A 14,134-nucleotide genomic window follows, 5' to 3' on the forward strand; every position below is an offset into this window, starting at 1 on the left:
ATGCATCCTTTTTAATGGCTGCATAGTATTCCATGGTGTATATGTGCCACATTTTCTTTATCCAGGCTATCATTGATGGGCATTTGAGTTGGTTCCAAGTCTTTGCTATTGTGAATAGTGCTGCAATAAAATACATGTGCATGTGCTTTATAATAGAATGATTTATAATCCTTTGGGTATATACCTAGTAATGGGATTGCTGGGTCAAATGGTATTTCTGGTTCTAGATCCTTGATGAATCGCCACACTGTCTTCCACAATGGTTGAACTAATTTACACTCCCACCAACAGCATAAAAGCGTTCCTATTTCTCCACATCCTCTCCAGCATACGTTCTTTCCTGAGTTTTAATGATTGCCATTCTAACTGGCATGAGATGGTATCTCATTGTGGTTTTGATTTGCATTTCTCTAATGACCAGTGATGATCGGCTTTTTTTGATATGCTTGTTGGTTGTATAAATGTCTTCTTTTGTGAAGTGTCTGTTCATATCCTTCGACCGCTTTTTGATGGGGTTTTTTTTTCTTGTAAATTGGTTTAAGTTCCTTGTAGATTCAGGATATTAGCCCTTTGTCAGATGGATAGATTGCAAAATTTTTCTCCCATTCTGTAAGTTGCCTGTTCAGTCTGATGATAGTTTCTTTTGCTGTGCAGAAGCTGTTTAGTTTAATTAGATCCCATTTCTCAATTTTGGCTTTTGGTTGTCATTGCTTTTGGTGTTTTAGTTATGAAGTCTTTGCCCATGCCTATTTCCTGAATGGTATTGCCTAGGTTTTTTTCTAGAGTTTTCATGGTTTTAGGTCTTATGTTTAAGTCTTTAATCCATCTTGAGTTAATTTTTGTATAAGGTGTAAGGAAGGGGTCCAGATTCAGTTTTCTACATATGGCTAGCCAGTTTTCCCAACACCATTTATTACATAGGAAATCCTTGCCCCATTTCTTGTTTTTGTCAGGTTTGTCAAAGGTCAGATGGTTGTAGATGTGTGGCATAATTTCTGAGGCCTCTGTTCAGTTCCATTGGTCTATATATCTGTTTGGGTACAAGTACCATGCTGTTTTTGTTACTGTAGCCTTGTAGTATAATTTGAAGTCAGGTAGCATGATGCCTCCAGCTTTGTTCTTTTTGCTTAGGATTGTCTTGGATATACAGGCTATTTTTTAGCTCCGTATGAACTTTAAAGTAGTTTTTTCCTATTCTGTGAAGAAAGTCAATGGTAGCTTGATGTGGATAGCATTCAATCTATAAATTACCTTCAGCAGTACGGCCATTTTCACAATATTGATTCTTCCTATCCATGAGCATGGAATGATTTTCCATTTGTTTGTGTCCTCTCTTATTTACTTGAGCAGTGGTTTGTAGTTCTCCTTGAAGAGGTCTTTCCCATCCCTTGTAAGTTGTATTCCTAGGTATTTTATTCTTTTTGTAGCAATTGTGAATGGGAGTTTACAATTTGGCTCTCTGTTTTTCCATTATTGGTGTATAGGAATGCTTGTGATTTTTGCATATTGATTTTGTAACCTGAGACTTTTCTGAAGTTGCTTATCAGCTTAAGGAGTTTTTGGACTGAGATGATGGGGTTTTCTAAATATACAATCATGTCATCTGCAAACAGAGACAATTTGACTTTCTCTCTTCCTATTTGAATACCCTGTATTTCTTTCTCTTGCTTGATTGCCCTGGCCAGAACTTCCAATACTATGTTGAATAGGAGTGGTGAGAGAGGGCATCCTTATCTTGTGCCAGTTTTCAAAGGGAATGCTTCCAGCTTTTGCCCATTCAGTATGATATTGGCTGTCGGTTTGTCATAAATAACTTTTATTATTTTGAGATACGTTCCATCAATAACTAGTTCATCAAGAATTTTTGGCATGAAGTGCTGTTGAATTTTATTGATGTAATCATGTGGTTTTTGTCATTGGTTCTGTTTATGTGATGGATTATGTTTATTGATTTGTGTATGTTGGACCAGCCTTGCATCCCAGGGATGAAGCCGACTTGATCATGGTGGATAAGCTTTTTGATGTACTACTGGACTCAGTTTGCCAGTACTTTATTGAGGATATTTGCCATCGATGTTCATCAGAGATATTGGCCTGAAATTTTTTTGGTTGTTGTGTCTCTGCCACATCCTGGTATCAGGATGATGCTGGCCTCATAAAATGAGTTATGGAGGAGTCCCTCTTTTTCTATTGTTTGGAATAGTTTCAGAAGGAATGATACCAGGCCCTCTTTGTACCTCTGGTAGAGTTCGGCTGTGAACTCATCTGGTCCTGGGTGTTTTTGGTGGGTAGGCTATTAATTACTGCCTCAATTTCAAAACCTGTTATTGGTCTATTCAGGAATTCTGCTTCTTCCTGGTTTAGTCTTGGGAGGATATACGTGTCCAGGAATTTATCCATTTCTCCTAGAATGTCTAGTTTATTTGTGTAGAGGTGTTGATAGTATTCTCTGATGGTAGTTTGTATTTCTGTGGGCTCAGTGGTTATCTCCCCTTTATCATTTTTTATTGTGTCTATTGATTCTTCTCTCTTTTCTTCTTTATTAGTCTGGCTAGTGGTCTATCTATTTTGTTAATCTTTTCAAAAAACCAGCTCCTGGATTCATTGATTTTTTGAAGGGTTTTTTGTGTCTCTATCTCCTTCAGTTCTGCTCTGATCTTAGTTTTTTCTTGTCTTCTGCTAGCTTTTGAATTTGTTTGCTCTTGCTTCTCTAGTTCTTTTAATTGTGATGTTATGGTTTTGATTTTAGATCTTTCCTGCTTTCTCCTGTGGGCATTTAGTGCTATAAATTTCCCTCTGAACATAGATTTAGCTGTGTCCCAGAGATTCTGGTAGGTTGTGTCTTTGTTCTCATTGGTTTCAAAGAACTTATTTATTTCTGCCTTAATTTCATTATTTACCCAGTAGTAATGCATGAGCAGGTTGTTCAGTTTCCATGTAGTTGTGCAGTTTTGAGTGAGTTTCTTAATCCCGAGTTCTAATTTGATTGCACTGTGATCTAAGAGACTGTTTGTTATGATTTCTGTTCTTTTGCATTTTCTGAGGAGTGTTTTGCTTCCAATTATGTGGTCAATTTTAGAATAAGTGCAATGTGGTGCTGAGAAGAATATATATTCTGTTGATTTGGGTTGGAGAGTTCTATACATGTGTATTAGGTTTGCTTGGTCCAGAACTGAGTTCAAGTCCTGAATTTCCTTGTGAATTTTCTGTCTCGTTGATCTGTCTAATATTGACAATGGAGTGTTAAAGTCTCCCACTATTATTGTATGGGAGCCTAAGTCTCTTTGTAGGTCTCTAAGAACTTGCTTTATGGGTGCTCCTGTATTGGGCGCATATATATTTAGGATGGTTAGCTCTTCTTGTTACATTGATCCCTTTACCATTATATAATGCCCTTCTTTGTCTTTTTTGATCTCTGTTGATTTAAAGTCTGTTTTTATCAGAGACTAGATTGCAACCCCTGATTTTTTTTGCTTTCCATATGCTTGGTAAATATTCCTCTATCCCTTTATTTTGAGCCTATATGTCTTTACACGTGAAATGGGTCTTCTGAATGCAGCACACTGATGGGTCTTGACTGTTTATCCAATTTGCCAGTCTGTGTCTTTTAATTGGGGCATTTAGCCCATTTACATTTAAGATTAATATTGTTATGTGTGAACTTGATCCTGTCATTATGATGCTAGCTGTTTATTTTGCCTACTAGTTGATGCAGTTTCTTTATAGTGTCAATTGTCCTGACAATTGGGTATGTTTGTGCAGTGGCTGGTACCGGTTTTTTCTTTCCATATTTAGTGCTTCCTTCAGGAGCTCTTGTAAGGCAGGCCTGGTGGTGACAAAATCTCTCAGCATTTGCTTGTCTGTAAAGGATTTTATTTCTCTTTCACTTATGAAGCTTAGTTTGGCTGGATATGAAATTCTGGATTGAAAATTCTTTCCTTTAGGAATGTTGAGTTTTGGTCCCCACTGTCTTCTGGTTTGTTGGGTCTCTAAAGAGAGGTCTGCTGTTAGTCTGATGAACTTCTTTTCGTGTGTAACAGGACCTTTCTCTCTGGCTGCCCTTAACATTTTTCCTTCATTTCAACGTTGGTGAATCTGATGATTATGTGTCTTGGAGTTGCTTTTCTCGAGGAGTATCTTTATGGTGTTCTCTGTGTTTCCTGAATTTGAATGTTGGCCTGTCTTGCTAGGCTGGGGAAGTTCTCCTGAATAATATCCTGAAGAGGGTTTTTGGCATTTTTTAAAAAATTATACTTTAAGAGATCTGGGATACATGTACTGTCGTATACTTTTAAACAATCAAATCTCATGAGAAATCACTCACAATTGGGAGGGCAGTGCCAAGCCATTCATGAGGGATCCATGCCCATGACCCAAACACCTCCCACCATGCTTCATCTCCAACACTGGGGATTATATTTGACCATGATATATGGAGGGGACAAACATACAAACTACGTCAAAGGCAAAGCATGGCTACTGTGAAAGAAGGGTAAAAACACAGAGATGGCATCACCTCTGACTTCCAGGAGTCCTCAGCAGACTGAGGGAGACAAGTACATATTTTCCTGAAAGAGGTCACTGGAGTGATGGTGTGTTTAGAATATAGAAGTAGAGCAGTCACAGAGAGGCAGCCCAGCAGAGTGTTCGCACAAGGACTGGGCCAGCAACTCCCCACTGCATGCAACGTATCTGAGGAAAGTCATTAAAATAGGTGATGGTCACTTTCCATCAAGTCCCTGGTATGGTCCATGGAGGCAGGGTTGTCAATCTCATTTTGGCATTTCAGAGGCCTCTCAGGGTTTGGATATGGAAGAAGACAACCAGCAATGATTATGCATTGCAGAGATGCAGGTGAGCCCCAGTTTCTTGCCAGTTGGGAGGTCAGTGCTAAGAGCCTTGCTGTCTTTCCCTGGAACATGAGATGCCAATTTCTTTCTGGACAGAGAGTATTTGGTTGGCTAAAGTCAAAATCTAAATTTTGCTTTGGGATAAATTCCAAAAATATTAGCATTATTCAAATTTACTTTCACTTTATCTTTCCGAATCTTCAAGGTCCAAAAGCATTGCTGAATAATTCTGTTTCTAAACTCACTTGCAGCGTGCTCTCCCTCCAAGGCGAAGACCATAATCTACTCTTGTCTGGAAATCATACAAGTAGGTATCTCAGCAAATGATACTCGTGTGTTATCGTTCTTATGAGTAAATCATTGGCAGTGAGTGTGATTTTTTTTTTTTTATGAAAGGATAAATACACGCCCTCTATTGGGGTCAGGTTTTGTGCCTGTACTTCTTCCGCCTACTGTATCATAGCAGCTTAGAATCCCAGCTGCTGGCTCGGGCTGCAGTTCTCTCATGGCTCGCGCAGGGTGGACCAGCCCCGTTCCTTTATGTGTGTGTCTACTGCTGACCTGTGGCTTTGCCGAGGCAGGGAAGCTGCTGGTAGTGCCCATGGATGGGAGTCACTGGTTCACCATGCAGTCGGTGGTGGAGAAACTTATCCTCAGGGGGCATGAGGTGGTTGTAGTCATGCCAGAGGTGAGTTGGCAACTGGAAAGATCACTGAATTGCACAGTGAAGACTTACTCAACCTCGTACACTCTGGAAGATCAGAACCGGGAATTCATGGTTTTCGCCCATGCTCAATGGAAAGCACAGGCACAAAGTATATTTTCTCTATTAATGAGTTCATCCAGTGGTTTTCTTGACTTATTTTTTTCGCATTGCAGGAGTTTGTTTAATGACCGAAAATTAGTAGAATACTTAAAGGAGAGTTCTTTTGATGCAGTGTTTCTGGATCCTTTTGATACCTGTGGCTTAATTGTTGCTAAATATTTCTCCCTCCCCTCTGTGGTCTTCACCAGGGGAATATTTTGCCACCATCTTGAAGAAGGTGCACAGTGCCCTGCTCCTCTTTCCTATGTCCCCAATGATCTCTTAGGGTTCTCAGATGCCATGACTTTCAAGGAGAGAGTATGGAACCACATCGTGCACTTGGAGGACCATTTATTTTGCCAGTATCTTTTTAGAAATGCCCTAGAAATAGCCTCTGAAATTCTCCAAACCCCTGTCACGGCATATGATCTCTACAGTCACACATCAATTTGGTTGTTGCGAACGGACTTTGTTTTGGACTATCCCAAACCCGTGATGCCCAACATGATCTTCATTGGTGGTATCAACTGTCATCAGGGAAAGCCATTGCCTATGGTAAGTCACCTCTCCTTTAGCACATTAAGAATAATCTGGCTTTGGAAATTAAAAAAGGATTCCTTACTGAACTGTGATTTGACATTTTCGTTTGTTGCATTTCAAATTTCTTTCCAGTTTAACAAATTATTTTGTGCGAATTCATGTACTCATCAATTATCAAATTTTATAAAACTGCCCTTCTTGAAAGTATATGTAATAATTTAAAAATTATAGATCATATTCAGGCTACATTTTAAAATACGATGTTTAGAAAAGTACCAAAAACCACAGCAAGAAATGAAACTTCCGTTTTTTGTTAATTCTATGTGACCCCGTAGTTGAAATGCTCTTAAGTTTTGTGTACATTCTTTTCATTGAAAAAAAGTATTTTAGGCATATGCAATATCTCATGTAAGTTCCCATACCTATTTAGTAAAAATAAAATCTAGTATTGGGCTGAACATATTCTTCTTTATCTTGCATTTTTCACTTGCCAATAAATTATGGGTACCTTTATAGAGCAATACAGACAGATTTGACAAGTTCTTTTAATAATTGCATAAAATTCTTTACTTTGGATACAATGTAGTTTTTTAACCAATTAATATTGATATATATATAGCCATTTTCCACTCTTTCCTTTTGTGAATAAGGCTGTGTAAACACTCTTCAATACTTTCCTTGCGTGAATATATTTCTATATTCTTGCTTTTATCTTAGTAGACTAGAGTCCTACACGTAGGGTTACAGGGTTTTCCTGAATTGAGAAGACTGGCATCTTTTTGCTATTAAGTCTTCCTGTTCAGGAACATATATGTCTCACTATTTATTCAGATCTTGTTTTATATACATAAATAAAAATTTTCACTATATAAGCATTTTATGTTTGTTTTTAACATTTATTCCTTGGCATTTTATTACTTTAGAAACTATTTTGTACAGGGCAATGTTTCCATTTCTACATTTAACTGATTACTGGTAATTAAAATTTTGGTTTTTGCATATGTATCTTGTATCCAGCCACATCACTAACTTTTCTTATTATTTTGTAGTATGCATTAGATGTACAATATACAATACCATCTGCAAGTAATTCCCTTGTCTGATATTTGTACTGCTTCTTTTGCTTTGCTGGAGCATATACTTCCAAAATATTATTGAGTAATATTGTTAGAGTAGCCAGTTTAAATAGGGATTCGGTTGCTTGTGACTGAAAAATCCTTGAAAAATACCAGAATAAGATTCTTGGCAAACGCATAGTTGCTAAATCCAGATGAAACACCTGGTGTCTCATCTCATTATATTATTTTATTAGGGGTGGAGTACACATTTTTATGTATTGTTCTGGTTTCTTACAAGATTCAGTAGACTTTGTAACACAGTTATATCTGTCATTGGCAGATGGTTGGTGAAAGAGTGACCGTTCAGCCATCTCATAGGAAAGTGAAATAATGCTCTTTCTAAAAAGCAGGAAGACTACAGTTGTAGGCCTTTCAAAATTAGGCATGACTTTCAGCTCATGGCAAGACCAGGCGAGGAGATGCAAGTTGCAGGACTCTAAGAGGTTGGACTTATCAAAGCACTTTTCTCCTCGTTATCCTCCATTAATTACAGTACCAAGCACCACCCATGTGTTGCCTACACCCCACAGCCTTCGGCCGAGTTGAGGATCTGCCACTTCCTGAACCCACGCTGAGTTTATTGTGGCTCACAGGGTCACCTAGAGGCCTTTAAAGATATAAAAACCTATATATGATTTTATATCACCTGTGATAGAGGGATATCTATAAAAAATGAAACATTAAACTATATATGGTTTCATTTATTTTGATTGTAAATATCTTTTATGAGATATGAAATAAATGTGTTTCTATATCTATTAAAGAATATACACATGTATGAAAGTTTTTATAGTTTGCAGAGGGTTATGTATATTAATGTATATTTTTATGATTATACCTGTAAAGGCAGCAGAATTCTCACAGAGGAATTCGATCTCAAAGAGGGCTTTCTGTCAAAGAGCCTTGGATATGGCCCAACCACAAAAGTAAAAGTAAATTGTCATCAAAAGAACGATGAACACTGCATATTGCTCTTTCCTTGTTTCAGATGCCAGGATGTGTCTGGGAAAAGCATGCAGTTGGTTACATCTTGCTGGGAAACAGGATTCAGAGTCTGAGTCTCATCTGTCTGATGAGAAGGAAGCATTACTTGATGATAGAGTATGTGTTTGCACATGTATGTGTTTGTGTATGTGCAGGTGTGTTTGCGTGCAGTGTCCCAGACCCTGCACAGGGGATTTCTTGAAGATCTCCTGTAACAAAATCTCCTTGAGTCTATCCAGGAGAATTACAGCCAGGGATGTAATTAAATACTTTAACAATGATGGCAGATGGCCCCATCTCCAATTTCAACATGGGATTTGGAGGGGACAAACTTTTAAACTATATCAATTGGTATGGTCATTCTTTTACATTTCAGTATTCTAATGTGTGTGTGTTGATTAGTGATGTGTAAATAATTCAGCAGAACATTGAAATAGTTTTAATGAGAAAAAGAGGAAGTCACTCTTAGTCTCTTTGAATTTTTGGTGAGTTCCAACAGAATTGATGACTGGTTTTAGGGGAAAAGAATTCAGGCTTCATCTATACCATCCATGGTAGGTGCAGCTCTGCAGACCTGGGGATAGGATGTGGTTACAGAGCAAGAAAAGATCTGTGCTTTCCCCATTGCTCTAAGATTCTGGCTATAGTCCAAGATCCAAATTCAAAGTTAACTTTTGGTTGACAAGACTAAGGCCTCCCACTAAAATTGTTTACTTCAAGTATTTATTTTCAAAGTTTTCAAACATACAAAATGAAAAGACTATAGTGTAATGTGCACCTGTATATCAATCCTTAGGCTAAATAATTTTCAGTGTTTTGCTGTATTAATTCATCTATCCCCTTATTCTGACCTTTTAAAGAAACTTTTTGGCTGTCATTTTTTTAGTGGAAATTCTTGGCTTGTCATTCCATCATTGAATATTTTATTAAATATAAAAAATAAGTAAAATTTGTTACACGGCCACAATATCGTTATCACACCTAACACAATAATAATACTTTAATATTATCTCATTTCTAGCCCATAATTAATTTACCTCCAATTGCCTCATACAACATCTTTTTATGTTGATCTATGGAACAGAGAATTCAGAAATAAACCCATACATCCTTGGTCAATTGAGTAAGTTCCAAATTTTATGAGGGTGTCAAGACCATTCAAATGGGAGAGAACAGTCTCTTTTTTAGGCTGCAAATGCTGTTCTTCCATAGTCCAACAGTGACCCTCCCCAATTTAGGGGCCAACCCAGGGATCTAGGTCCATGTAACCTCCTGATAGGCCAACAATCTTAGGTAGGGCCAACTCTATACCCTTGGTCAGTAGGAAGCAGTTGGAAGATGAGACCTTCACTCACATGCCAAAGATTTGTCATTGTTGCTATGTCAGGGGGGAAATGTGGAGCCCTAATTAGGGAAAAAGAGCTAGGCTGGCAGGACCAGGGGAAAGCAAAAAAGAAAAAGCAGATGAACTATAAGTCTCCCTTTCTTCATGGTCTAGGACACATAGCCCTCCTGCAAAAATAACATAATCTTCCTGCACCCAGCGATCACCAGACCCTCAGCTGATAGAAAAATGCAAGTTATCTCACTGCAACCTTGGCATTATCAATACTGCATCTAGCTCTCTGCAGCACAAGCACCATCCTATAAAATCCTCAGCAAGCCTTTGTCTCCTTGCAGCCAGCTCTTCTCTTGCTGACTATCTTGCAACATATTTTCCTACTTTCTCTAATAAATCTGCCTTTCTTTACCTACAAGTATCTTGGTAAATTCTTTTTACCTCCCATGCCACACCAGTCTCAGAGAGTTGCCACCCATGACAGTTACCATAAGGCTTGCAAATACTATCTTATAAACCTTATTTTAACCTGATAACAACTTAACACTATTTGCATAAACAAACACACAGCAAGAAGAAAACTAATAGAAACTAGTCTTAACTTTGCTCCCTACTTTTTAACTCTTTGTGATTTTCATTTATATCTTGTTGTACTGCCTATATCTTAAAAAGTTGTTTAGTTATTATTTTTGATTTGTTCATTGTTTAGTCTTTATATGTAGGATAACAGTAGTTTGCACACACAGTTACAATGTTATAATATTCTGTGTATTTCTGTGTACTTACTATTACCAGTGAGTTTTGTACCTTCAGATGATTTCTTCTTGCTCATGAGCTTCCTTTTCTTTCTGATTGAAGTACTCCCTGTAGCATTTCTTGTAGGATCGGTCTGGAATTGATAAAATTCCTCAACTTTTGTCTTGGAAAGTCTTTATTTCTCCTTCCTGTTTGAAGGATATTTTCACCAGATATACTATTCTGGGGTAAAAGGTTTTTTTTTCTTCAGCACTTTAAATATGTCATGCCACTCTCTCCTGGCCTGTAAGGGTTCCACTGAAAAGGCTGCTGCCAGATGTATTGGAACTCCATTGTTTGTTATTTATCTCTTCTCTTGCTGCTTTTAGAATCTTTTCTTTATCCTTGACCTTTGGGAGTTTGATTATTAAATGCCTTGAGGTAGTTTTCTTTGGGTTAAATGTGCTTGGTGTTCTCTAGCCTTCTCATACTTGAATATAGGTATCTTTCTCTAGGTTTGGAAAGTTTTCTGTTATTATCCCTTTGAATAAACTTTCTACTCCTATCTCTTTCTCTACCTCCACTTTATGGGCAATAACTATTAGATTTGCCCCTTTGAGGCTATTTTCTAGATCCTATAAGCATGCTTCATTGTTGTTTATTCTTTTTTCTTTTGTCTCCTCTGACCATGTATTTTCAAATGGCCTGTCTTCAAGCTCAGTAATTATTTCTTGTGTTTGGTCCATTCTGCTATTAAAGGACTTTGATGCATTCTTCATTATGCCGATTGCATTTTTCAGCTCCAGAATTTCTGCTTGATTCTTTCTAATGATTTCAATCTCTTTGTTAAATTTATATGCTGGAATTCTGAATTCCTCCTCTGTGTTATTTGGAATTTCTTTGAGTTTCCTCAACACAGCTATTTTGAATTCTCTGTCTGAAAGGTCGCTTATATCTGTTTCTCCAGCGTTAGTCCCTGGCACCTTATTTAATTCATTTGATGAGGTCATGGTTTTCCTGAATGGCGTTGATGCTAGCAGACATTCTTCAGTGTCTGGGCATTGAAGAGTTAGGTGTTTATTGTAGTCTTCATTGTCTGGGCTTATTTGTAGCCGTCCTTCTTGGAAAGGCTTTCCAGATATTTGAAAGGACTTAGGTGTTGTAATCTAAGCTGTTTCTGCTTTAGGGGGCACCCCAAGCCTAGTAACGCTGTGGTTCTTGCAGACTTGTAGATGTATTGCCTTGATGGTCTTGGACAAGATCCAAGATACTTCTCTGGATTCCAGCACATACTCTTGCTTTCTTCCCTTACTTCCTCCCAAAAATACAGAGTCTCTCTCTCTCTCTCACTCTCTCTCTCTCTCTCTGTCTCTCTCTCTGTTCTGAGCCACCTCAAGCTGGGGGTGGAGTGACACAAGCATCCTTGTGGCCATCACCACTATGACTGTGCTGGATCAGACCTGAAACCAGCACAGCTCTGGGTCTCACCCAAGGCCTGCTGTAACCACCTCCTGGCTACTGCCTATGTTTGCTCAACGCCCTTGGGCTTTACAATCAGCAGGTGATACAGCCAGCCAGACCTGCATCCCTCCCTTCAGAATGGCAAGGTCCCCCAGGCCCTGGGTGGGTCCAGAAGTGCCATCTAGGAGTCAGGGACTAGAGTCAAAAACCTTAGCATTCCACCTGGTATTTTATTGTATTGCAGCTGAGCTGGCACTCAAACCACAAGATGCAGTCCTTCCCATTCTTCCCTCTTATTTGCAAAGACAGAGGAGCCTCACCTTGTAGCCACTGCCACCCCTGGCCATGGACAGTACTGCCAGACTTCTGCTGGTGTTCCCTTAAGGCCCAAGGTCTTAAGTCAACTTGTGGTGAATGCTGCCTGGCCTGAGACTTGCCCTTCAAGGCAGTGGGCTCCCCTCTATCCCAGGGGAGCTCCAGAAATGCTGTCCGAGTCAAGTCCTGGAATCAGGGACCCCAAAAGCCCTCTTGATGCTCTATCCCCCTGCAGCAGTGTTGGTACCTAAGTTATAAGGCAAAGTCCCCTTTACCTTTCCTTGTGCTTTCCTCAAGCAGAATGAGTTTTGCTCCATAGCCATCACAGCTGGGAATGTGCTGAATCTCACCTAGAGCCAGTAAGTCTCAGAGGCTCACCAAGGCCCTTGACGTAGTACGAGGTTTCACTGCTGGTATTCAGGTTCCAAGGTCTCTTCAGTTAGCAGGCGATGAACGCTGGCAGGACTGGGCCCTTTCTTTTAAGGCAGCAGGTTCCCTTCTAGCCCAGGGTGTGTTCAGAAATGTCATCTGGAAGCTAGGGCCTGGCACAGGGGCCTCATGATTCTGACCAGTGCCCTATCCTGCTGTGGCTGAGCTGGTCTCCTAAATGCAAGACAAAGTCCTCCCCACTTTTCCCTCTCCTCTCCTCAAGTAGAAGGAAAGGGTCTCTTTTGGAGCCGCAAGCTGTGCATCCTGGGATTAGGGGAGGAGTGATGTCGGTACTCCCTTGGCTGCTTCAGCTAGTGTTTCAGTATGTCATACTCCCCTTTACCCAGTTCACTGTCTCTGGGCCTAGTACAGCCCTAGAACTCACCTAAGAGTTGCAATCTTTATGGACTAGACTGCCTTTCAAGTTTACTTGAGGCCAAGACCATTTTGGCCCTCGGTGGTGAGGTCTGTGGGCATTCAAGTTCAGACCTCTGAGATCAGCAATTTCCCTCAGCCTAGGGCTGGTTTAAATGCTCCCTCAATGCTGGGCACGGTGGCTCATGCCTGTAATCCCAGCACTTAGGGAGGCTGAGGTGGGTGGATCACTTGAGGCCAGGAGTTTGAGACCAGCCTGGCCAACATGGCGAAACCCAATCTGTACTGAAAATACAAAAATTAGCCAGGTGTGGTGGTGCATGCCGGTAATCCCAGCTACTCAGGAAGCAGAGATTCGCTTGAACCTCGGAGGCAGAGGCTGCAGTGAGCCAAGATCATACCACTGCACTCCAGCCTAGATGACAGAGTGAGACTCCATCTCAAAAAATAAGAATAAATAAATAAATAAATAAATAAACGCTCTCTCAGTGGGTGGGTGTCAGCTGAGTTTGGTCTGGGTTTCCTTTCTGCTCTAACAGAATAGCACTGATTTCAGTGCCTCCCAATTGTCTCCCACCAGGGCTCAGGGATTCTCTTTATGCCACACCGCCACTGTGGGTTCAGGGGGTTGGGTGACATAGGAGATGCAGAACTTTTTTTTTTCTATTTCTTCAGTGTCTCTGAGTTATATAAAATGAAAACCAGGTACTATGAGTGCTCACCTGAGTTTTGGTTCTTATGAAGGTGGTTTTTCCTGTGTAGATAGTTGCTAACTTGGTGTCTTCTCTGTCCAGATTCTTTTCCAGTATTGACAATCCTTTACATAGAAAACTGTGTGTAATGAGTTCTAAAGGTTCTTATGACCCCTGATTGAGAAGCTGAATTAGAGATATTGGGTTTGGGAGCAGGTAGACCACTTTGACACCTTTAGGGTTCTGGGTGGCTAGGGACATTGTCCAATATCAAAAGAACTTTAAAAAACAATCCCTTACTGGCAATGCATTTTCTGCCTTCAGGGACAAAGCATCGATGAAAGCAATCCAGAAAAATTGTTCTTGTTGACTAGGCTTCTTGAGAGACTTATTCACTATCAAGAGAACAGCATGGGAAAGACCTGCCCCCATGATTCAATTTTCCCACCAGGATCCTCCCACAACAGTGGGAATTGTGGGAGTTACAATTC

At 39.8% G+C, this 14,134-nt stretch overlaps 2 protein-coding genes and 1 further gene across 2 annotated transcripts in view; all 3 read left to right on the top strand.

Annotated features, from left to right (window-relative positions):
• The window catches only part of UGT1A (UDP glucuronosyltransferase family 1 member A complex locus), a 187,861-nt gene that overhangs the window by 45,729 nt on the left and 127,998 nt on the right, over positions 1–14,134 (top strand).
• UGT1A8 (UDP glucuronosyltransferase family 1 member A8) overlaps positions 1–14,134 on the top strand; it is a 155,668-nt gene that overhangs the window by 13,535 nt on the left and 127,999 nt on the right. The window lies entirely within an intron of this gene.
• Positions 5,281–14,134, top strand: part of UGT1A10 (UDP glucuronosyltransferase family 1 member A10) — a 136,853-nt gene continuing 127,999 nt past the window's right edge. Inside the window, exon 1 of the mRNA NM_019075.4 lies at positions 5,281–6,210. Coding sequence (NP_061948.1) covers positions 5,356–6,210 — 855 coding nt within the window. The 5' untranslated portion in view covers positions 5,281–5,355. The remainder of the gene's footprint in view (positions 6,211–14,134) is intronic.

The sequence above is a fragment of the Homo sapiens genome, chromosome 2 (assembly GCF_000001405.40).
Source record: "Homo sapiens chromosome 2, GRCh38.p14 Primary Assembly".
Classification (NCBI taxonomy): Eukaryota; Metazoa; Chordata; class Mammalia; order Primates; family Hominidae; genus Homo; species Homo sapiens.